The sequence below is a fragment of the Homo sapiens genome, chromosome 5, assembly GCF_000001405.40.
Source record: "Homo sapiens chromosome 5, GRCh38.p14 Primary Assembly".
NCBI classification, from domain to species: Eukaryota; Metazoa; Chordata; class Mammalia; order Primates; family Hominidae; genus Homo; species Homo sapiens.
Genome location: NC_000005.10, coordinates 78407716 through 78433931, shown reverse-complemented (window position 1 = coordinate 78433931; position 26216 = coordinate 78407716). Strand labels below are relative to the sequence as shown.

General features: G+C 35.3%; 1 protein-coding gene across 4 annotated transcripts in view; it reads right to left on the bottom strand.

Moving 5' to 3' along the window:
• The window catches only part of SCAMP1 (secretory carrier membrane protein 1), a 120123-nt gene that overhangs the window by 46808 nt on the left and 47099 nt on the right, over nucleotides 1–26216 (bottom strand). For 3 of the 4 annotated variants that reach the window (NM_004866.6, XM_011543727.4, NM_001290229.2), the window contains 4 exons: nucleotides 18314–18412; nucleotides 17283–17391; nucleotides 15029–15157; nucleotides 11972–12131 (listed from right to left, as the gene is read on the bottom strand). In NM_004866.6, coding sequence (NP_004857.4) covers nucleotides 11972–12131; nucleotides 15029–15157; nucleotides 17283–17391; nucleotides 18314–18412 — 497 coding nt within the window. The remainder of the gene's footprint in view (nucleotides 1–11971; nucleotides 12132–15028; nucleotides 15158–17282; nucleotides 17392–18313; nucleotides 18413–26216) is intronic. The other variant, NR_110885.2, reaches the window with a different exon arrangement.

The following is a 26216-nucleotide window of genomic DNA, read 5'->3' as shown; positions in this document are numbered from 1 at the left end:
CTAACCCTGGAGGTGGGACAGGAATATATCTATTACAGAGACCTTAGAGATGGTGGTGGGGCAGGATCACTGAGAAGGGCAGATCTCTCCACTCCAGAGACACAGGCTGCCTAAGGCTGAGGCTGAACCAGAACAAGAATATCCTCCACCCCTAACTCCCCAACATGCCCACCATGCTCCAAGTATAAAGTAACAAGTAACAGCACTCTACTCCTGGGGGAAGAGTGTGCGAAGAGAAGCCCTCTCTGAGGGGCAGGCACAAAGGGGAAACCCGAAGCTAATGGAGCAAACACCAAGAAAAAGCTTCTGGAAAAGCAGGACTCACTCTAAACATAAGGTAACACCAAAGTAATTTGAAGTCTCTGAGGTACTGAGGGCAGTCATGGTGAGCAAAAACCCAAACCCAGATCAATTTCTGACTGAATTACCTGACACCTGCCCCCACCACAGCAGCACACCATCCATACACTAAAAGCCTAGCACAACAGAAAAGCCATGTCCAGTGGGTCTTCAGCTGTGCCCTGAGGAGGATGGGATTTGCTATCCCATCTCACCTCCCACTTAAGGCACAAAACCTATTTATTTCAGTCTCTACCGTCTTCAAAAGATGTCTAGTTTTTAACAAGAAATTATGAGGCATAAAAAGAAACAAGAAAAAAAAGACACACTGTCAAGTATGTAGAGACAAAGCAATCAAGAAAACCATATTCACATATAACTCAGGTGTTGGCATTATCAGACAAAAAATTTAAAATAATTGACTAATATGTTCTTAGACTCTAGTCAAAAAGGTGGCCAACATGCATGAGGAGATGGGGCATCTTAGCATATATATAAGATATAGGAAATTACCAAATGGATATGGTAGAAATGAAAAATATCATAACAGAGATGAAGAGTACCTTTGAGAAGCTCACCAATATACTCAGCAAAACTGAGGGTGGGAGAGAATCAGTGAAACTGAAAATAGAAATTATATATACTGAAATGCAAAAGTAAAAAAGAATGGAAATAAAGAATAGAACATCTAAGAGACATGGGGCAATATCAAAAATTCTAACACATATGTAATAAAAATTACAGAAAGCGACGATAAAGAAGTTACAAAAGAAATATGTAAAGAGACAGTGAATGACTGAGAATTTTCCAAAATTAATGAAGACTCAAAACCAGAGATCCAAGAACATTAGACAACACTAAGGATAAACAGAAACACACACATATACATAACACACATTGCACACACGTACTTTAACACATCATATTCAAACACCCCAAAACAAGAAATACAGAAAAAATATTAAAGACAGCCAGAGAAAACAAGACACACTAAATACAGAAAAATAAGGATAAGAATTATAGTGGACTTCTAGCCAGAATCTTTGCAAGCCAGAACGGATGAAAATGATGTGTTTAAAGTACGAAAGAAAGTAAAAACAATAAAAATACCTGTGAACCCATATTATACTTATTGATAATATCTTTCAAAGATGAACAAAAAATGAAGACTTTTTCAGACAAAAATCAGAGAACTGATTATTAGCAGACCTGTTCTACCAAAAATATTAAAGAAAAATTTTCTGGCAAAAAGATTATGATATGATACAAAAACATGGATCTCCACATATACACCCACACACACAAATGAAAAGTGCTGAAATGGTATTAATAAAGGCCAATGTAAAATTCATTTTTCCTTATATTTAATTCTTTTAAAATTAAAAGCAAATTAAAATTAAAATCTAAAGCAAAAGTAGTGACACATAGAGATAGAAGAAGGATGGTGACCAGAGGCCAGGAAGGGTAGTAGGCAGAAGCCAGGGCACCGGAGAGGTAGAGATGGTTAATGAATACAAAAAAATTATTAGAAAGAATGAGTAACTTAGTATTTGATAGCACGACAGGGTGACTATTGTCAAAATAATTGTAGATTTTAAAATAACTAAAAGAGTATAACTAAATTGTTTGTAACACAAAGGATAAATGCTTGAGGGGATGACTACCCCTTTTTCCATAGTGTAATTATTACACAATGCATGCCTGTATCAAAATATCTCATATATCCTATAAATATACACACCTCCTATGTACCCATTCAAATTAAAAAAATTCTTTAAAGGTAATGTACTGTGTGTTTCTAGCATATATAAAAATAAAATACATTTTAAAACTGTATAAAGGTTGGGAAGGGGGAACTGAGAGTACTCTGCTGGGAGATCCTTACAGTACATATGAAGCAGAATAATATTATTTGAATACAGAGACTATGATTAGAGACATATATTGTAAAAATTAGGGCATCACTAAAAAACAGTTTTAAGAGATATAAATAATGAAGAAATAGGGGAGAAGACAGTCATTAACAGATACTCAACTGATCCAAAAAAAAAAAAAAAAGGCAAAAAGAAAGGAAAAGAAACAAAGAATAGTTGGAATAAACAGAAAATAGATGGTAAAATGACAGATTTTAATCCAAGCAGATAAGTAATTATATTAAATATAAATGGCATAAGCACATTAATTAAAAGAGACTGTCAACTTAATATATAGACTTGTCAACTTCATATATAAAGTAGCTTTTTTGGTTGGCAACCTATAGTTGCGTCTGCAAAAGCATTTTGAACATTTTACAAAATGCTAAAAAAAAAAAAAAGTACAAAAGCATTTTGAATATTTTGAAGCATTTTAGAACATTTTACCCAACAAGAGCAGGCTATATATTCTTTCAAGTGCATGCAGGAGTGTTAATTTTAGAGTTTTAAAATTCCTAGCAATGTTATATCTATATGGTTTCTTATATCTGTATCTGCACTCAATCTGTTATACAATACGTTGTTTTGGTTGAAAATGAAGAAATCTGCTTCACATATGTATATGGTTAGAAAAGGGAGGAACCTAAGCTCTCTGAAAGGAAGGCCCCAAGAGTCCTTAGATCATACTCAGAAAAGCTATTAGGAAATAAGCTGCATACAAAGTTAACAAGCTATTTATCTTCTCCACATTCTCAACACTCAGTGGGCAGAGAACTTTGTAACAAATACTAACTACACTAGTTAAAGAGCTAGTCAAGAAATAAACATTGTTACTAAATATTCCAAAGTCAGTTAACTTACTGTGTGGAAATCACTGATGTACCTGGATTCACTGCAAACTAAATGATAATGTAAATATAATAAAGTAGGAACATAACATCCTAAGCTTCTAGTCTGAAGATCTGGGTTAAAACCTCAGTTCCTAATAATTTGCCCAAAAGACCATAAAGACTAAATAATACAAAGTACTGAACATGATTTGTAGACTCTAAAACAGTATATATTTATATATAAACGTAAGAGAATCTGATAAGCACTAGGTTCTTCTTGTAGTTATATAAAGAATATTACCTTTCCTCATGAAGAGTTTGAGACTTCGCTTTGGGAAAAAAAAATCTCTTTTTCTGGTTATATAAACAGAAAGGATGAACCATAGTTTTTCAATCTTGCCAGAAAATATGGAAAGAATCAGAAGGGAAGGAAGGAGTGTGTATGTGTGTAAAATAAAGCAACAGATCAAAATAAGGCATTTACTGTAGCAATACAGCTGTACAAAAAACAAAATATAATCACGATATACTAGAAAGTGCAGCTGTAAATACTATTTACATAGTAATAAATACTATTTATTTATAAATAAATACTGTATTTATAAATAAATACTGTATTTATAAATAAATACTGTATTTATAAATAAATACTGTATTTATAAATAAATACTGTATTTATAAATAAATACTGTATTTATAAATAAATACTGTATTTATAAATAAATACTGTATTTATAAATAAATACTGTATTTATAAATAAATACTGTATTTATAAATAAATACTGTATTTATAAATAAATACTGTAAATACTATTTACATAGTAATAAATAAAGAACTCCAAATACTAGTCTAACCTAAAATCATTGTTACATGTAACAGAAGGACTGTGGGGAGAAAAGATGCATGTGTGTTGGGGAAAAGGGGCAACATAAGCTTTAGAAAAGCTGAAGCTTTATTCTCCATAGCAGCAAATGAGTACAAGACAACTAAAACTTAAAAATCAAGAAATGGAAATTCACTTCCAGCATGACAGAATGAGGAAGTCAACAAATCCGCTTCTCAAAATACAATAAATATGGATCAAACTCAAAAATAACCATTTCAGTATTCTGTCCAAAGGCACACAACATAACAAACTGAGAAACATCTATTCATGGAAACTACTGAACTCTGGTAAGAACAGCATGAGTCTGTGGCATTCTTGCCTAGAACTGCTCTCATTCCCTGCAACTCTCTTGGAAACGTATTTCAACCAAGGTAGGGCAAATCATAAAAATCAGCACCCTCATTGCAACTCCCAGAAGGAACTCAAAATGACCAAATGGAAAGTATGCCAGAAATGCAGGGTTGGTTTACAAAAGTCAATCAATGTAACTCACCATATTAACAGAGTAAGTGGACAAAGATCACATGATTATCTCCACAGATCATGGCAACAGAAAAGCATCTGGAAAAATCCAACACCATTAATGATAAAAAAAAATTAAAAAAAAAAAAAAAAACCAACTCAACAAACTGGAAACACAAGAGAGGTTCCTGAGACCAACAAAGGGCATCTACAAAAAAAAAAAAATCTACAGTCAATATCATCCTTAATGGTGAATGCTTTCTCTTAAAATTGGGAATAAGGCATGGATGTTACTCCTCCTACTTCTATTCTCACTATCCTAGAAGCTGTAGCCAGTTTAATAAAGCAAAAGGAGGAAAAAAGGAAGGTGGATTGATTAAAGATAACTACTTTGGAAGGAATAAGCAAACATTTTTATTTGCAGAAGACATTATCATAATATATATGGAATCCCAAGGAATCTTGAGCATGCATGTGCACCAGCACATGCACACACACAAACTACTAGAATTAGTGAAGGAGGTTAGCAAGGTAGAATGATACAAGATCAATATATGAAAGACAACTTTATTTCTAACTACTAGCAACAAACAATCCAAAGAGGAAATTAAAATAATTCCACCTAAAATAACATAAAAAGGATAAAATACTTAGTAACAAATTTAACAACAGAAGTATAAGATTTGTGCAATTAAAACTGAAGAACATGGCTGAGAGAAATTATAAAAATATAAATAAATGGAGAGAAATCCATATTCACAAAATCAATGCTGTCAGGGTATTAATTCTCCCCAAACTGGCTTACAGTGTTAACTCAATCCCTATCAAAATCACAGCAGGGTTTTTATTTTTATTTTTTATTTTTTGTAGAAACAGGCTGAGTCCAAAATTTAAATGAAATGCAAAGGACTCTGAATAGCCAAAACAATTCTGAAAAAGAAGAAAGTCGAAAGACTGACTAACTATAAAGCAACATTAACATTAGTCAAGAAAGGCATATTGGTATAAAGATAGGCACATAGTTCAATAGATCAGAACTGAGTCCAAAAATAAATCCTACATCACTGGTCAATGGATTTGCAAGAAAAGTGTCCAAACAATTCAATGGGAAAAGTCCAAAAATAGACCTCTCCATATATGGACAAGTGATTTTTCAACAGAAGTACAAAAAGATAATTTACAAAATATAGTCTTTCTAACAAGTAGTGGAGGAATATTTGGATATCCACAGCAAAAAGATGCATTTAGACCCTTACACAAATAAAGACCAATAACCTTCATACACAAAAAACAAAAATTAACTCAAAATGTATTATACACCTAAACACAAGAGATAAACCACAAACTTCTAGGAGAAAATATAAGAGAAAATCTTTATGGCCATGGGTTATGCAAAAGGATCTTAGACATGATACTAACCAGACAAGACCAAAAAAATAGTTAAATTAGACTCTTAAAATTGAATGTTTTTGTGCTTCTTAAGGCACCACTAAGAAGCCACACACTGGGATAAAATATCTGCAAACTGTTAAACAACAAAACAAAACAACTTATATCTCCAATACAGAACTCTTACAACAAAATATATTTTAAAAATAAACTTAATAGTAAGAAGTCAACAACAGAATTTTTAAAATAGACAATAAACTTGAACAAACATTTCACCAAAAAAGACACACGTCTAATAAGCAAATAAAAAGGTGCTCAAACTTCATCAGTAACTAGGGAAATGCAAATTAAAGCCACAAGATACTACTACATACCCACTAAAATGGCAATAATCAAAAGACAAAAGATGAGAGTTAGTGAGGATGCAGAGAAACTAGAACCCTCAGACGTTGCTGATGGGAATGTGAAATGGTACACCCACTTTAGAAAACAGTTTGGCAGTTTCTTAAAAATTTAGACACGTTTTAAAAAAAAAGTTTCATCCCAGTAAGGCTACTCCTAGGAATATTGTTATGGTAACTCTTAAAAATATATTCAAGAGAAATGAATATATGGCCATAGACAGACTTGTACACGCTGTTACAGTTTGGATTTTTGATCCCCCAAACCTCACACTGAAATCTGATTCCCAATGTTGGAGGTGGGGCCTAGCAGGAGGTGTTTGTGTTATGAGGGTATCACTCATGAATGATCGATCCCTCATGATCCCTCATGAATGGCCTGGTGCAGTACTCATGATAAGGAATAAGTTCTCCATTAGTTTCCAAAAGAGCTGGCTATTAAAAAGAGCATGGCACCTCTCCCCCAACTGGCTTCTTCATTCTCACCACATGATCTCTACTCACATCTGCTCCCGTTTGCTTTCCACCATAAGGAGAAGCAATCTGAGGTCCTCACTAGAAGCAAATGCTGGCACCATTGTTCTTGTACACTCTGCAGAACCACGAGCCAAATAAATCTCTTTTCTTTATAAATTACCCAGCCTCAGGTGTTCCTTTAGAGCAACAAATATGAACTAAGACACATGCATATTCATGGTATTATCCAAAAAGCCAAAAGTTGAAAAGAGCCAAATATCCATTAACTGGTGAATGCATAAATAAAATGTGATGTAACAATACAATGGAATACCATTTAACAATTAAAGAGAAATGAATTACTAACACATTCTGCAGCCCGAATAAACCTCAAAAACGTTATTCTAAGTAAAAGAAAACAGCAAAAGACTAGATGTTCTATGATTCCATTTACATGAAATGCTCAGAAAAGAGAAATTTTTAGACACAGGCAACAGATCAGTGGTTTCCTGGAGCTAGGGGAAAGGAATGAGAATTGTGTGCAAATGAATCCAGGGAAATTTTGGGAAGGATGGAAAAGTTCTAAAACTGATTGTGGTAATGATTGCACAACTCTATTAATTTACTTAAAAATCATTGAATTGGGCAAAAGATATGAACAGACACTTTTCAAAAGACATTTATGCAGCCAACATGAAAAAAAGCTCATCATCACTGGTCATTAGAGAAACGCAAATTAAAACCACAATGAGATACAATCTCATGCCAGTTAAAATGGTGATTATTAAAAGATCAGGAAACAGATGCTGGCAAGGCCATGGAGAAATAGGAACGCTTTTACACTGTTGGGAGTGTAAATTAGTTCAACCATTGTGGAAGACAGTGTGGCAATTCCTCAAGGATCTAGAACCAGAAATACCATTTGATCAGCAATCTCATTACTGGGTATGTACCCAAAGGAATATAAATCATTCTGCCATAAAGACACATGCAAACATATGTTTATTGCAGCACTATTCACAACAGCAAAGACTTGGAACCAACCCAAATGCCCATCAGTGATAGATTGGATAAAGAAAATGTGGCACATATACACCATGGAATACTATGTAGCCATAAAAAAGAAATGAGTTCATGTCCTTTGCAGGGACATGGAGGAATCTGGAAGCCATCATTCTCAGCAGACTAACACAGGAACAGAAAACCAAACACCTCATGTTCTCACTCTAAGTGGGAGTTGAACAATGAGAAGACATGGACACAGGAAGGGGAACATCACAAACCAGGGCCTGTCAGGGGTGGGGGGCAAGGGGAGGGAGGGCATTAGGACAAATACCTAATGCACGCGGGGCTTAAAACCTGGATGATGGGTTGATAGGTGCAGCAAACCACCATGGCACACGTACACCTATGTAATAGACCTGCACATTCTGCGCATGTATCCCAAAACTTAAAGTAAAATAAAATAAAATAAATCATTGAATTTTCCCATAAGAGTGGGTGAATTTTATAGTATATACAATATATCCTAATAAAGCTACTTAAACAAAATCAAGGAATGGCAGTATATGATCATTATTTAAAATATAAAGGTAAATGCCCACATAAGTCAGCGGCAAGAACTGTTGGTAGAAAAGGATTAAAACAGGTCTTTATTTTACCAAAAAAGTATTTGCACAGCTACTTAAAACTGCATATAAAATAACCTGTATACAAAGATGTATCACTTTTATAAATATTAAAATACTTTTAAAAATATTCTCTACAAGCTAAAAAAAGGTTTGGGAGTACAAATATATATGAAAAACTAAAATTATGCTAGAGAATGAGCAAAAATTATCAAAATTCAACCTAATGGTTACCTATGGAGCAGGGAAATGGAAACATACCAGTGCTTCAGCGGTATTGATAATGTTCCATTTCTTAAATTGACCAGTGGGCTCACAGTTCATAGATGACTCATTATTATGCCTTTTAACTTGTGTTTCAGGTATTCTTTGGTATGCATTAAATACATCATAATTAAAAAGTGGGAGAAAGTACTACTTTGAAAATTGTCTTCAAAGCTACAAATAATGGCTCTGTAAAATATAATCTATAAGAAATCACAGTTCACTTATAGATCATAAAATGTAAATGATAAAATCTAAGAGGGTCCAAAAAAAGTTAAAAATTAATTACAGCTACCATTTATTCACCATCTATAATGCAAAACTTGCATACATTATCTCTAATCCTTCTTTCAACTCTACAAATATCCCTCATTTAAACCTAACAAACTGAGGCTCTGAGTTTTACTGCATGTGCTCAGAACCGCACAGCTTTTTAAGTGGGGAAGCCAAGATCACTAAGCATTATGCAAATACTCTTTCTCAGTCTGTTTCTAATAGTTACTCAACAACATTCAACAATAATGCTGCCTTGTTAATAATTACCTAATATTTTGATGTATTTGCATAATGCCTAGTGATTTGTGGAAGTACAAAATTCAGGACCAAGTTGGGGTTTTTTTGTTGTTTTTCTTCTTTTTTTTTGAGGCAGGATCTCACTCTGTCGCCCAGGCTGGAGTGCAGTAGCACGATCTTGGCTCACTGCAACCTCTGCCTCCCGGGTTCAGGCGATTCTCCTGCCTCGAGCTGGGATTACAGAAACATGCCACGATACTCAGCTAATTTTTTGTATTTTTAGTAGAGATGGAGTTTCACCATGTTGGCCAGGCTGTTCTCAAACGCCTGACCTCATGTGATCCGCCAGCCTCTGCCTCCCAAAGTGCTGGGATTACAGGCATGAGCCACCATGCCCAGCCCCAAGTTACAATCTTTGTAAACTACATAAATAACAAAATGACAACTTCATGTTTAATCCTGATACCTAATAAACTTAACTTTTAAAAACACATACATTTGAAACTTCACTATATAATTTTCCTTGAGATTTTTACAATGAGTTTACCTTACGGAGAACAAAGTCCTGTAAATATATCAATATAAGGAAATGCCAAAGATACATAACAGGAAGGTATATTAATGATTATAAATACTTTAATTCAACTTTCCCCATAAAAAGTATTCCTCTCGAGGCTGGGCGCAGTGGCTCATGTCTGTAATCCCAGCACTTTGGGAGGCCGAGGTGGGCAGAGGCCGAGGTGGGCAGAGGCCAAGGTGGGCGGATCACCTGAGGTCAGCAGTTCGAGACCAGCCTGACCAAAATGGTTAAACCCTGTCTCTACTAAAAATACAAAATTAGCCAGGCATGGTGGTGCATGCCTGTAATCCCAGCTACCTGAGAGGCTGAGGCAGGAGAACTGCTTGAACCCAGGAGGCAGAGGTTGCAGTGAACCGAGATCAAGCCATTGCACTCCAGCCTGGGCAACAAGAGCAAAACTCCATCTCAAAAAAAAAAAAAGTATTCCTCTCATTTCTACTCTGCACAGTGAAAACCAGATTATTAATATATTTGTATATACTCTAAAAGACTGAGATGCAGCTAAAAACTCAGCCTAGGGATCAATAATGCCACAAGTAAAAATGTTCCACCAAGCATTTTTATTTCAACTGCCAAAATGGGGGAAAAAAAAAAGATACCAAGTGACTTCAGGAAATAAAAGGCACAAAGCTGGCTTTTAGTCATTTATTTTGGCTACATAAGTAACAGAAGGTTTAAAATCCAAATTCCCTAGTCTCAGGTCACTTTTTTGAAAAGTTTCATAAAGATATCCTCACTCCCACCAGCCAGCATCATCACAGATCGATAACATATTGGTAATGTGATGGAGGTCATTAGGCAGAGGTTAGATGTCCAAAAAAAACAAAACAAAACAAACTAACAAAAAACAGAAAAAGCCTTGTGAGCCATGCTTAGATAACGAAGAAAATAACAGCAATAACTCAGATCATGCAAGGAGTAACTATGTTCCTTTCATTCCTCTCCAACCCATCTCTACAGGAGAAGCTCTCCCCGTTCCTTGGCAACCAATCTCCCATATTTCAATGTATCCAAAGGTTCTTTTCTCCTTTCCCTTCTCCCATCATTTCTTCCCTTCACTCCTCCTCTCATCATTTCTTCTCTTTATGCCATTTCTAAGTAATAATTTACTTCTTCATTGTCTGATACATTTTCTCTCCAAATTCCCTAATGTTCTCCCATCTCCTGTTCTCTTCTGTTTTTCCCTCATCTGTTTACAGATCTGGGTTTCTAACTCTGTGTGTGTGTGTGTGTGTGTGTGTGTGTGTGTGTGCGCGCGCGCGTGTGTTACACATTCTGGTTAACTAAAGAGATTTTAGGTTGCAATGGCAAAACATACTGAACACTTAAATGTGGGCCTCTAATTTCCCTAATATATCCTTTAAACAACACACGCATATATCCTAGTAATGTTACCCCTTATTCACGAGAGTTGAAATGGTTATTCACAAGAATTTACTCAAATAAAAATGAGTTTAAAAAAACTATTAAATATATGAACCCATATAGGACTATCATTTCAATCAGTATTTCCCAATACTTCTTAAAGCAATAGTCCAACAAAGTACTCCACAGAAAAATAATGGTTGCATGGTCAAGTCATAAGGCACAAATCATACTAGGTACTTAAAGAGTGTAAGAAATCCTGAAATGAAGAAACTTGCTTAACCTTATTATCCAGCTGTTCCCAAATTTACTAAGCTTATGAGCTCTTTTTTTCTCCCCCAGCACCTATTAATATCCCACAGAACATGCGCTAAGGAAATGTTAACCCTAACCACTGATTAAAATATACTATGTAAAGCATTATACTTAACCTAGTAGCATAAATCGTTTTTAAAATGGTGCTGCCTTTGAAAAAACCTAAAATGGATTTATAAAGAAAATAATCCAAGTTGCTAGGTGCAAATGGCTCATTTTAAATATTGCATGTATATTTACCTTACTTAGGTTAATTTAAAAAAAAAAAAACCATAAGCACCAATTGGGATTTTGATTTGGGAGGTGGGGTGGGCAAACAGCAAAATTTTCCTTGAAGTATAACATATGGAAGAGAATATTTTATAAATATTAACTTCTAAGACTGTTCTTATTTTTCCATCAATTTTCATGTTTGGTCTTTTATCAAATGGGAGAAAAAAATGGAATTTTATGACTTACAAAATCCAATGAATACACAGGCATGCTATATTGAACTTTCCTGAAGGTATGTTACACAACAATACAAGAATTTTTTAATGAAAATGCATCAATTTTCCCTTTAATGTATACTACGAATTATTTACTTCACAGGTTTTAAAGAGTGTATTTTAAAGTACACACATTTTACCTGAAAGCTCCATAAAGTGGTCTGTACCAACAGACAAATGAACAAGGAGTAAAAAGCAAGAACCACAGGATACTCAATCCAAAATCAACCGCTCTTGCAGAATCAACACAAAACCAAGCCAAGCATCCGAAGATATTTAGAAACAGTGTTACTGCATGGACTGTGGAATCAGAAAACAAAATAGAAAAAGAAAGATTTACATTCAATTTATGAATTCATCCAACAAAAAATTGTAAATAAAAAAATACTTCCTAAGAGCAAATGTATTCTACTCCATGTTTCCATTTATATTTTTCAAAACACTGTTGTATCTTACATATTTGATTTGAAAACAGAGTATACACAGGAAAGCGAGTCTTAATACATGTACTGTTTGGCAAAAATTCTGTTGGCCCTCTCCTCCTCACAGGCAATGATGTAGCTAAACCAGAGGCGCACTACCTTAAGGGCTTCTTCCCGAAAAGGAAACGTGATGTCTCTTGATCTGAAGCCCAAGAAGAAAAGCAGTGTCTGCCAGGAAAAGACCCAGGACTTAGGAGGAAAAACCATATCTTTACAGAATGGGGCTGCAGACTAAACACTGGACTAAAAATACTAATACAGTAGCAATTTCTAGTGACTATATAGTCAATGTATAAGGATTGTTCATTCAACTTCATAGAGCTGTCCATTTGTAAAATCCTGAAAAAAACTTGCGTTTTGGTAGAGGATTAAATTTATTAAGTCCCCTCCTCACTCCCCCACACAACATGATACATTTTAGCTACTGTGGCAGGCTTTTCTTTTGGTTAACACAAATAGATGTTGACAAATTCATCATATGCTGTTAATAATTGCTTTCCCTGACAGACCAAAAACAAAAAATCTGAGTAACATCTAACTATACCATGATCCTAAAGAACTACTTTGACCCATTGTAATTAATAACTGTTTCAAAGGATTTTTTAAAAATTTATTCACAGGCTGAATTTATTATAGTAAGTACATTCTTATATAAGCTAAAATGATGTTTAATGTAAATTATCAAATCAATAAAAATATGCCAACAAATTACTTGAATTAAAATTAACAACTGGGAAAACCTATTGGATCTAGTTTTTTAAATCTCAAACTTTAAGATTTCTTTACAAATCAAATAAGTTAATAATTAATGAAACAGGATACACACACACATTCTGGGATGCCTAAATTTGCTCTTACCTAACCCACCAGATAAGTAAACAAGCTCTAGAGTTTTGTTTTTTGTTTTTTTTTAAAAAGAGCTCCAGATGAAGTCACTTAGGTTGTAGTCATCTAATATTAAGCCAATCACTCAACCTCTGTAAGCTTCAATTTTTCAGCCATAGAAATGCAGGAGCTTTTCCCACTTTAAAATCCCATTCAATTCTATCACAAAAGAGACACTCTCACTCATTACTCTAGTCCCATTAGGATTTTTAACTCTCAGGAATGCTTGCTCATAATAAATTTACTCAAAACCCTTGGCCTCAAAATAAGGGTGGTTGTGTTAAGATCTTAAAAACAGAATTGAAGATTGTGAAATAGAAAATTATTACTCTGCAGCATTAAATAGCATCCAGCTGCCTTAAAAAGTTTTAGACCTTAAGAACATTCTAACTTAAATTTCAATTTTCAAATTAGGTTATTTCCTAATCCACTGAAAGAAAGATAAAATATATGTATAATTACACTTTAAAGTTCATGAAAATTATTCCAAGTATAGATGAAAATACAAAAATTAGCCAGGCGTGATGGCATGTGCCTGTAGTCCCAGCTACTCAGGAGGCTGAGGCACGAGAATCACTTGAACCCGGGAAGCGGAGGTTGCAGTGAACCAAGATCGTGCCATTGCACTCCAGCCTAGGCAACAAAGCAAGACTCTGTCTCAAAATAAAATAAAATGCTAGGACAATTTCTGCCCATTTAAAAAAATAAACATATATAAAATATAAATGCATATATTATATTGATTAAATAAGAGTTGGTTAGCATGTACATATATGGAATCAGACATTTAATATTAAAAATATATACTACTGACACTGAGGATTCAGCAAAAGATATTAGATCAAGAATATCTCGAAAAATACTAATGAAGAGTTAAAAATAGACTATCCATTAGGAAACACTTCTCACATTCCAAAACAACTTGACATACATGAAGAATGCTCCTAAAAGATTTTAAGGAAAATTATCTCATCCATTAAGGGAAGGGTGGTAGTCTCATTAATCATAAAGTAAAAACAAGTAAATTTCCTCCATCAAGAATGTACCCTACAAATTATCCATTAACCCAGATGTTGTGCATGTGAGAACCCTCAATAGCTACCTCCCCTTCTGACAGGGTATCAAAATGAGGCTGAGACTACTGTTTGGAATAAAAATGAAACAGAGAGTAAGTGGGAGGTCTGTGCACACAGAGTAAAACTGTTAACGGCTTGACATTTTGTTTCAGTATTCCATGAGTTATTATACTCAAAGTGATGTAAGCATCAGAGCCCCAAACGTATATTCTAATGTTCCGTTCAACAAAATGTCCTGTATTAATTAAGCACTTTCAATAATAAAAGTATCGCAATTGAAAACAAAAAGTAAACTGTACTCAAAGCTATAAAAAGAACACTTAGTTTATGTAATAATTTTATGCCCTTTTAAAAATAGCTAAAACGCCTACATTTAACAGAATTCTTTTAAATGGCCTTCCTCTGCATAAAATTAGTATGCACTATTTTTTCCAAGCAAATCATGTCTAGATAACATCTTTCAAGGAAAAAGAATCTTATAAAATTTTACCCACATGACAGAGAAGTTGTCTTTTCCTCAAAAGAATGCCAGTTCTCAACATACAAGTTTTTCTCAGCCAAGGACTTACATTGTCACATATAGTACAATTCTGAAGTACCTAAATAGGATATGTTTCACTCTGAAATCATGATTATTAAGCTTTATCTATAGAAAAAGAAGACTGGTTTGCTATACTATCCTTGAAATAAAAATGCGGATTTTGACAACAAAAATACAAATTCTAAGCAAAGATGTAAATTGTTGTATACTCACACATCCACAAGTAGTACATAAGCTTTACTGTCTTTTGGAATTCTACAGGAATGTCTACAGAAAAATCCTGATAGAAACAAGGTCCGACAGGAAAATTGCTAGGAAGAGGTGGCCAATTATTTTTTCTACCTGTAAATTTTTTTTAGAAAAAGAAAAGGTTATTTATATTATAACAAATGTGATATTATTTTTTGTTTCATAATAAAGAAAAACTCTATTATGTTAACAAAAGTTCAGAAAAACTGTAGAACTATATCTTTGTATTCCTAGAACTCTGAAAGACAAGCTTTAGATTTTTAAAAAATTTTCTCAGAATATCATCACCTTAGAGCACATTAGATAGTAAAATAATTTTCCAGTGTCATATCATACCATGTTTAGCAGGAACCATTTATGTACAGAAAAAACAAGAAACAAAAAGAAAGCACATATCCAGTGCTTCTACCCTAAAACAGATTTATTTCACAGTCCAAAGAGTCTGGCTGGCATGAAAGGGCCATCCAGTTTTTAAACTTCAATTTTCTCCTCAGCATCTTAAATCTTCAAATATAATTCTGTTATAATTCCTATCTCAAGTGGAGAAAGACTAGCTTCTAATTTTTTCAAGTTTTCTGTTAAGTCCAAGATTAAACCAATACCAAAGAATCAAATTTAGAATACTCAAAATCTGGGAAAAAATAATATCCAAAAGATACATGTACGAAAACCCTACAACAAAGAAAACATGAAACAGTCATGATAAGGAAGCTGAAGAATTATAGAACCTTTAAAAATGCAGAGAAAAACAAATTCAAACTGTAAAGGGAAAAAAATGTGTCTACATAAAGAAACCAGATTAAAAATAAGACTTGAGAAATGGTGGGGGAAATAAAAAATTAAAATAAAGAAGTCAAAACATGAAAATAGCGGGTAAAAACAGCACCTAAGGCCATTTCCCGATTTTAGATGTTATATCCCACAGTTTTTAAAAATTCAATTTTACCTACTTTTCCCAGACCAGGGTAATTTTTATAGAAAGAACAATAACCTATTTCTGATTCTCCCCAATGAGTCTCCTGTGTTCCATTTATCATACTATTCAAATTTCATATAGTTCATTTCTCATACCAATCTCATACTATTTGAGAAGCGGCAGTGAATACTCGTAAAGAAGAGAGGCTCTGGAACCAGAAGTGGCTAGCCACTTACTGGCAAGGTCGCCTTGGGCAACTTACTCTCTCCTCCGAGCCTTAGTTTCCATATCTGTAAAATGAGAATAAAAACTCTATCACCCCTCACAGGATTGTATTGATGATTTAAGTATGAGTTAAGAGGGGAAAAGTACTAAAATGTGCTAACATACTGCAGTCTAATTGTTAATTTCCTACTCTTTGTTACTGTCTTTACTAACATAACTCTCATAGAAATAGTTTGTATTTGCCAGTGCTAAAGAAATAGGATGGATTTTAGTTACAGGTACTTCAGAAACATTGGTCCCAGTTCAACTTTTAGTTTCTCCTTCTATAGATGCTACCTCTGATGCTGCAAGCAAGAAAATGACCCAGGATAAATGTGTTCTCATGAGGCCCTAGACTTACACATTCTAAGTTAAAAAGAAATAGTTCTGTATATTGTTATTGTTCTAGCTTTGCATTGCATCACTATCCCAGACATCCTAACAATGACTTATCTAGCTCTTTTATCTCTTCTTACTCAGAGACTGCTAGCTTTCCCTAAGAGACTCCTTTGAAGTGCTTTGGCAGGCACAAACTTAATAGAATTCACTGCAACAATTCACCACTTATTTCTTTGGCATCATATGAATACCTTAGGCTTCCAATTTTTCTAACATGATTTGACAAAATACTTGCGAGGACTGGGGCAGATAATCTGAAATTAACCTGAATAAATCAGGTAAAAGTCAAATGTAGGGTACATGCAAATGTACTCATAAAGAGTCCACAGAACCAAGGAGGGCCTAACTGCAGAATCAAAGGCTCCTGGCCTCAGAGTAAGCAAAAATTATCATATTCACATTCATTTTCTGTGTGATGAGGCTAACACTGTTCTAAGCTATCAACAAAAGACTATGCAAATCAGCCAAGATTAGAAGGCTACAGAGTATCAAACAGGCAATCTGCTGTGTCTGATCTCCTTGTTAGAACAGGAAAACAGGGTAGGGTTTTATCCACAGGCCAAATGACCTAGGAGCTAGTATAGACATAATGTAAAGTATTTAAAAGTTATTTTTATTTCAAATTTCTTTGGATACTACCATGTTGACTGAGGTTTTGCATTTCTCGTTCCCGACGATCTAATTCTGCGGCTTTTCTTTCTAGTTCTTCCTGGCGCTTAAGAAGTTCAGCTTGGGCCAATGCATGTTCCTAAATAAAAAATATCAATATGTGAATAGACTGTCAGAAGTATAAAATACTTTAACATTTATATGCTAACTCCTACTTCTCTACTATGAGAGAAACCTAATTCAAACACACTTCCAAAGTACAGGAATTTACTGAAGATCATAGTTACAGAAAATATTATGAGGATATTTGGTCCATTTGGTCTTTGGGTTCCAGAAACTCTCAGTGGGAATGTTGGGTCCATTAGGAGAGGAAAACTTCTCTTAGTAAAAGTAGTCACAATCTTTAGGTAATCTGGAAAATGAAATTAAGATGACCTCTATGCCTAAATGAGTGAAGAACAGAGGCAATGGGAACAGTTGAGGAAAATGAACAATAGAAAAAAGGGCAACTGAATTGGCTCCTATTAATCAGATTAAATGATATATAAGGCCACCAATGCAAGAATATTTTCTAATATCTTAAATGTTATAGGAGAATGAGGTCAAAAGATGTGATTAAGAAATTCTTTATAACTCAATTTGCCCTTACATGCTATCAGGCATCTTATTAATCTCCTTTCTTCTCAGATTTTTGCCATCTTCTACCTCCTAACACTGTTATTTTACCATTGCAACGCTCTCCCAATAATATCTATTATTCCATCATTTTTACCTTAATGGTAGTGTGCATTAAAAAGTGGGACCAAAGGCAATAAAAATTTATCCACTGAGATGATACATAAATTCAATAATTCCTAATAATGGAATAAAGCAAATGGTATAAGCTGACAAAAAGAGGAATGAGTATTTGAAGGGTGACAAGACAGCAAATCCAGACTTGAAAGTGAGTTAAAAATTAAGCAACAGAAATGTAACCATATAAAGATTTATTTTGCTCTGAAAGCAAATGTTATTGATATTATAATGGCCAATATGAATTTATACAACTAACATGAACTAACCTTTGCAATCTGTGTATAAGCTGGATGTTCCTCTGTTGGTTTCATTATTGCTGGTTGTGTATTGGGTACATTAGGCATCTTCACACCGCCTGGTGGAGGCTAGGAGGATTAAGAGAAGGAAAATTATGTAACACAGAGATCCAACTTTAACTTCTTTCAAAAAGTATAACACCAATAAAATGAAAAATCCCAAAATCTGCATCTCTTCATTCCCTGCTCTCTCATAGTCAAGTGTGTGGCAAAGAGCTGCTTAAATTCTCCATCTCCATTTTCTCCAACTCATTCATTTTTCAACTCTACAATCAGACTGCTACTTATAACACTATATGACAAACACTCTCCTCCAGGATACCGTATGTTAATAGAGGCCAGGCATGGTGGCTCATGCCTGTAATCCCAGCACTTTGGGAGGCCAAGGCGTGTAGATCACCTAAGTCAGGAGTTCAAGACCAGCCTGGCCAATATGGTGAAACCCCGTCTCTACTAAAAATACAAAAATTAGCCGGGTGTGGTGGCGGGCACCTGTAATCCCAGCTACTTGGGAGGCTGAGGCAGGAGAATCACTTGAACCGGGGAGGTGGAGGCTGCAGTGAGCCAAGACTGTACCACTGCACTCCAGCCTGGGCAACAGAGCAAGACTCCATCTCAAAAAAAAAAAAAAAGAACTTTTGAGTTTAATAGTAAAATACAGATAGAACCAGACAAAAGAACTACACCAAGGTTTACTGCCAACTCTTCCCTCTTGAGAAAGCTACATGCCAGTGCTCTGAAGAGTATACAGGAAAGTTCTTGGTAGAACCCCACTAAATTTAAAAGAGTAAAAGGGAAGGCGTAAGGAGAGAGAAAATAAATTACCCAACTTCCACTTTGCCAGTGAGGATCAGTAGTGTCTGAAAGCTGCAAGATCAGGAAGTAGACATCTACAAGTCCATCAATGGGGGATTGGTTAAATTACTGTATATACATACAATGCAGCCATGAGAATAAATTAGCGATAGAAGAATGTCTTTTAAAATACTAAATAAAATAAAGCAAGCTGGCCGGGCGCAGTGTCCTATGCTTGTGATCCCAGTACTTTGGGAGGCCGAGGCAAGTGGATCACAAAGTCAGGAGTTCGAGACCAGCCTGGCCAATATGGTGAAACCCCATCTCTCCTAAAAATACAAAAATTAGCCAGGTGTGGCGGCGGGCGCCTGCAGTCCCAGCTACTTGGGAGGCTGAGGCAGAAGAATCGCTTGAACCCGGGAGGCGGAGGTTGCAGTGAGCTAAGATCGCACCACTGCACTCCAGCCTGGGAGACAGAGCAAGACTCCATCTCAAAAAATAATAATAATAATAAAATAAAAATTAAATTAAAAAATAAAGCAAGCTACAGAACAGTCTGTATATGACCTTTTTTTCAACAGACACAGATTTATACATGCCCCCATAAAATATCTGGGAAGTCTCGGCCACCTGATATCAGACGGACTTGCACCTGTTGTTTTATATGCCTCTGTATTATTTGCTTCCCTCGACACATGCACCATATACTACTTTAATAAAAATATATTTTTAAAGTACTCTTTAGAATGACCATAAGAAAAAAACAAAAAACAAGGATGGGAACATGAAAAGAACAATAGAAGCAAAAACAGTAACAGAAAAGAAAAGAAGAAAGGAAAGAAAGAGAAGAGGGAGGGAAGGGGGAGGTCATAAATAAGAAAAATATAAAAAAGAAAGAAGCTGCACAAGGACGTTCAAGGATCTTAAGAACTATTAAAACCAGAAGACACCACCAATATATAGCAGGATTTTACTCTGACACAGCTAACAGCAGCCCTGAAAAGGAAGCCACGCATAACCAAAGATATAACTGTAGTTCAGCTGATTCTAAAATGCATATACAAAAGGCAAGAACCGGCTGGGTGCAGAGGCTCACACTTGTAATCCCAGCACTTTGGGAGGCCAAGGTGGGCAGATCGCCTGAGCTCAGGAGTTCGAGACCACCCTGGGCAACATGGTGAAACCTCGTCTCTACTAAAATACAAAAAATTAGACAGGCATGGTGGTGTGCACCTGTAGTCCCAGCTACTGGAGAGGCTGAGGCATGAGAATCGCTTGAGCCTGGGAGGCAGAGGTTGCAGTGAGCCCAGATTATGCCACTGCACTCCAACTTGGGCTACAGAGTGAGAGTCTATCTCAAAAAAAAAAAAAAGGCAGGAACTAAAAACAGGTCAAACCATTTTGAAGAAAAACAAAGTAGGAAGACCTATGATATCAAGGCTTATTATAGAACCACAGTAATTAAGAGTGTAATACAGATGCAAGGACAGAGAAGTGTACCAATAAACAAAACAGACACAGAAACAAACCCACACAAATGCAGAAACTTGATATCTAACAGAGGTGTCACTACAAAACAGTGAAGAAACAATGTGTTAATCAATAAACGGTGCCTGGATAACTGGTTACTCATATAGGAAAAAAAAACATTTCTTACTTCGCATCATATACAAAGATTAATTCGAGGTAAATTCATGATCTAAAACTGAAAAAGCAAAACTTAAACACTTTCAGGGAAAAATACATGTGAATATTTTTATGAATATTTCTTGAGCTTCTAGAATATGAACTCTAGAAATACTGTGTATTTTGTTTATGACCTATCCCAAGTACCCAAAATAGTCCCTGAAACAGTAGATGCTCAGTAAGTATCTGTCAAATTAAGAATGGAAAACACACACCACACAAAATTGACGAATTTAATTACACTGAAATTTACAAAAAGTAAAAAGTCAAATCATGGACTAGGAAAAGATAGTTGTAATGCATATAACAGAAAATTGCTACCCAGAATATATAAAGAATTGTTACAAATCCATGAAAATACAAACTAATCGAAAAACTAGCAAAAGATCTGAACAAGCAATAGAAAGAGGTCAATAAACATGTGAAAAGAGGTGTAACAGCACTAGTAATCAAGAAGTGCAAAAACAATCATATATCATTTCAAAACCATGAGATAGAAAAACAAACTCTGACAATACCAAAATTGGAATTTACACAATATACACAATGGTGGTGCATATGAAAATTAAAGCACTGATCAAGATAGCATTTCAAGTCAATGGAAATACAAAAGGTTGTCAGCAAATGCTGTTGGGAGAATTATTTAAATTGGGGGAGGAAAAACAAAATCCCTGTATCTCAAAAGAATTCCAAATGGATTAAAAATTGAATGTTAAAAAAAAAACAAAACAAGACAAAAAACAACTATAAAGACACTAAAATACACTCTATAGACTATAGGGCATTATCTGCTCTTGGCGTGAAGAAAAGTCATTCTAAACATTCAGAAAAGATGAGGGGAAAGAAATCATAATGAAAAGGTAATATATTTGACCACATAAAAATTTAGAAATTTGATGATATAAAGCATTCATAATCAAGATTAGATGGCAAAATCTAAATAATAAGCAACATATACAACAATTAGTTAATACATTTCACTAGGTACAAATCAATACAAAATTATCAGATAAACATGTTACTGAAAAAAACTGCATTTTTAAAAACTCTGAACAGGCAGCTTACAAAATACAAAAGAAAAATAAACATACAAAAAATTTCAACCTCATTAGTAATCAAAGAAATGCACATTTTACATAATTATTTTTAAAATGATTATCATAGGATTACCACATTTTGAGAAAGATGTGGTAAAATAGATATTCTCACACACTGAAAAGTGGGATTATACACTAGTACATGTAGCAATCCTGGAGCACAATTTGGCATTATGTTTCAAGAGCCATAGAAGTATTTATACCCTATGTACTATGAATATCTGGTCTTTAAAAATATCCTATGGAAATAATCCAAGATATTTGCAAATGTATGTATGCCAAGAATGCTCACTACAGCTTTATTTACAAAAGCAAAACCCCAAATGTCCAACACAACAGAAGAAATGGTTAAACTGATACAGCTATAGGAAAGTATACAATACAGCTATTTAAAAGTTCTAAAAGAGTGCAATAAGATGAGGAAGCTTGGACAAATAAGTGATTAAAAAAAGTTATGAAACAAAGCTGTATATACAACATGACACGAACTTCCTATTTTAAAATAAGATGAAAATATATCAAAATGTTAATAGGGATTATTTCTGGGCAGTGGGATTAAGAGCATTTTCTTGTATTTTTAAAATCTCCATTACAATCTTTTGTCACTAAAATAATCACAAATTCTCTTTTCCAAATGCTTGTTCCCCCACACCCAGTATCTCTTATTAATGGGCAGAAAAACTAAGGCTAATCAATGCTAACTTCTCCAATTAGAAAAGTATGGTCCTTTAAATGTAAAACCCAAAACTATAAAAACTGTAGAAGAAAACCTAGGCAATACCATTCAGGGTGTAGGCACGGGCAAAGATTTCATGACAAAAACTACAAAAGCAATGCAACAAAAGCAAAAATTGACAAATGAGATCTAATTAAACTAAAGAGCTTCTGCACAGCAAAACAAACTATCAGCAGAGTGAACAGAAAACCTACAAAACGGGAGAAAATTTTTGCAATCTATCCATCTGACAAAAGTCTAATAACCAGAGTCTATAAGGAACTTAAACTTATTTACAAGAAAAAAATGCCATTAAAAAGCAGGCAAAGGACATGAACAGACACTTGTCAAAAGAAGACATTCATGGGGCCAACATATGAAAAAAAAGCTCAACATCACTGATCATTAGAAAAATGCAAATCAAAACCACAATGAGATACCGTCTCACACCAGTCAGAATGGTAACTATTAAAAAGTCAGAAAACAACAGATGCTGGCGAGGTTATGGAGAAAAAGTAATGCTTTTATACTGTTGGTGTGAGTGTCAATTAGTTCAACCACTGTGGAAGACAGTGTGGTGGTTCCTCAAAGATCTAGAGGCAGAAATACGATTTGACCCAGCAATCCCATTACTGTGTAAATACCCAAAGGAATATAAATCATTCTACTACAAAGACACATGCACACCTATGTTTACTGCAGCACTATTCACAATAGCAAAGACATGGAATCAATCTAAATGCCCATCAATCATAGACTGGATAAAGAAAATGTGGTACATATACACCATGGAATACCATGCAGCCATAAAAAGGAATGTGATCATGTCCTTAGCAGGGATATCGATGAAGCTGGAAGCCAGCCTCCTCAGCAAACTAATGCAGGAACAGAAAACCAAACAGCATGTTCCCACTCATAAGTGGGAACTGAACATTGAGAACACATGGACACATGGTGGGGAAAAACACACACTGGGGCCTGTCGGGAGATGGGGATGGGGATTAGGGGTGGGCAAAGGGAGAGCATCAGGAAGAATAGTTAGTGAATGCTGGGTTTAATACTTAGGTGATGGGTTGATCTGTGCAACAAACCACCATGGCACACGTTTGCCTATGTAACAAACCTACACATCCTGCACATGTACCCCAGAACTTAAAAAGTTGGAAAAAAAAAAAAAAGAAAAAGAGTTCCCGGCACCTTAAGTGAGATATAATTCTCACATATATTGTCCCAAGTTCACATGGCATTTAGAACTGCTATCTTGATCAGTAATAAAGATCTTCCCCCAGCAAAAAACCAAAAGCATCGCCCCAAAGCCCTGTCTTCTTGGTGTAATAAGCAGCAACAATAAAACAATGACCAAATACTAATAAAATGTCTGGCAAAGTTAGCCTGGCAGCAGCATATTTCAGGAAAAACACAGAAGAAATTACCCAAGAATGTACCCAGCTGAAACCTTGCTATAAATGCTGTATTACTTTAAATAACCAAGGAAGTATTAAGTATAATAAACTAGTAGATAAGGATGAAGGTAGGGTTAGAGCTGGTAATGCGATATATTTAAGGCCATAGTTGCTTGCAGTATAGCAATGATGAGAAATGTTGGAGAGCCACAAATCTCTAATAGCACTGATATAAATCTAATAGCTATTATCCTGATAATTTCTTCACATCTGTAGATGTTAAAGACCCAGTATTTTCTTCAGCCACAACATAGTGGATTAGCCAACTCAAGCCAAGTAGAATTCTGGAGGACGACCTCTTTTCATCACTACTAAATACCTATTGTGATGATGGTTCCCAGTTCATTTCCAACTTTTCACTCTGGGACAGATGAGCGTGTATGCGTGTGTGTGTGTGTGTGTGTGTGTGTATCTATATGTGTCTCTGTCTCTATCTATATATATATAAATATAAAACAAGCCACTCAAGACTTTCACTTCTTAAAACATAGCAGATCACCCATATGTAGAGATCCCCTTCTAGTACATAATACCTAAAATACTAGACCAAATTTTATTTAAATAATATTGTAAATACACAACTAACGCAACAAGAAATCCTGGGAGGCAAGAAAGCAGGAACTACTAAATCCAAAGAAAGAACAGCCTTGATACCAAACCATTCACCAAATTACTAGTGATCCATCTGCACTAGTAAACTAGAGACAAAGCTTTGGAGCTGGTACAAGGATGGTAAGGGATTGACAAGATCCCTGCATAAAGCCAGGAGTCTCTAAAAAATGACCGTTTCAGTGGATGAGTAAGAAAAAAGCAATTTCACAGAAGAAAAATAAATGATGGGAATACCTCCATGTCTTGTCCTTAATTCTGGATGTAGAAGGGAGGAAAAAAGGGAAATCTTCCCTGAGAATTCCCAGTCATAAACCTACCAATGGCCAGGCATGGTGGCTCACACCTGTAATCTCAGCACTTTGGGAGGCTGAGGTGGAAGGATCACTCAAGGCCAGGAGATTGAGACCAGCCTGGGCAATATAGTGAGACCTCAGCTCTACACCAAAATTTAAAAATTTACCAAGTGTGGTGGCACATGCCTGGAGTCCCAGTTACTTAGGAGGCTGAGGCAGAAGGATAGCTTGAGCCCAGGAGGCAGGTTGTAACGAGCCAAGATCATGCCACTACACTCCAGCCTAGGCAACAGAGCAAGATCCTGTCTCCAAAACAAAACAAAACAAAACAAAAACCAAAAACCTACCAACTTGCAGATCTCAGGTCAGAATTCCACTACCCACATGGACAAGATAATCCAACATCCAATTTTCAGTGAAAAGGATCTCAGGCTGGTAGTGGCCTCAGGCATTTGGCAAAAGTAGAGGAACAAACATTAAAACCAGGTGACATGGGTTTGGCTGTGTCCCCACCCAAATCTCATCTTGAATTGCAGCTCCCATAATTCCCACGTGTCATGGGAGGGGCCTGGTGGGAGGTAACTGAATCATGGGGGTGGGTCTTTCCTATGCTGTTCTCATGACAGTGAATAAATCTCATGATACCTGATGGTTTTATAAAGGGGACTTCCCCTACACATGCTCTCTTGCCTGCCACCAGGTAACACGTGCCTTTGCTTGTCCTTCACCTCCCACCATGATTGTGAGGCCTCCTCAGCCATGTAGAACTGCAAGTCCATTAAAACTCTTTTTCTTTATAAATTACCTGGTCTCGGGTATGTCTTTATTAGCAGCATGAGAACTGACTAATACACCAGGCTTCAAGAAATTAACACAGATAAAGTTCCAAGTAACTTTGGCTTATGATTTAAATCTATGAGGAAACAAACCACAAGGGTCCACAGAAATAGCAAATTACAAAATAAGACCTGAATATATTTGAATTATCAGATACAAAACAGGTGTGTTTAATAAAGAATTAAGAGGGTAATACAAGTTTGACTAACAAGAGACTATCAGAATTGGCCAGCTTCTTAAATGAAATTCTAGAAATGAAAACTATAATAATGACTTTTAAATTATAAATTTAATAGACAAGTTGAACAGCAAACTACACAAAGATGAAATAATAAAGGAATGGAAGTGAATCTAATGACACAGCACAGAGATCCA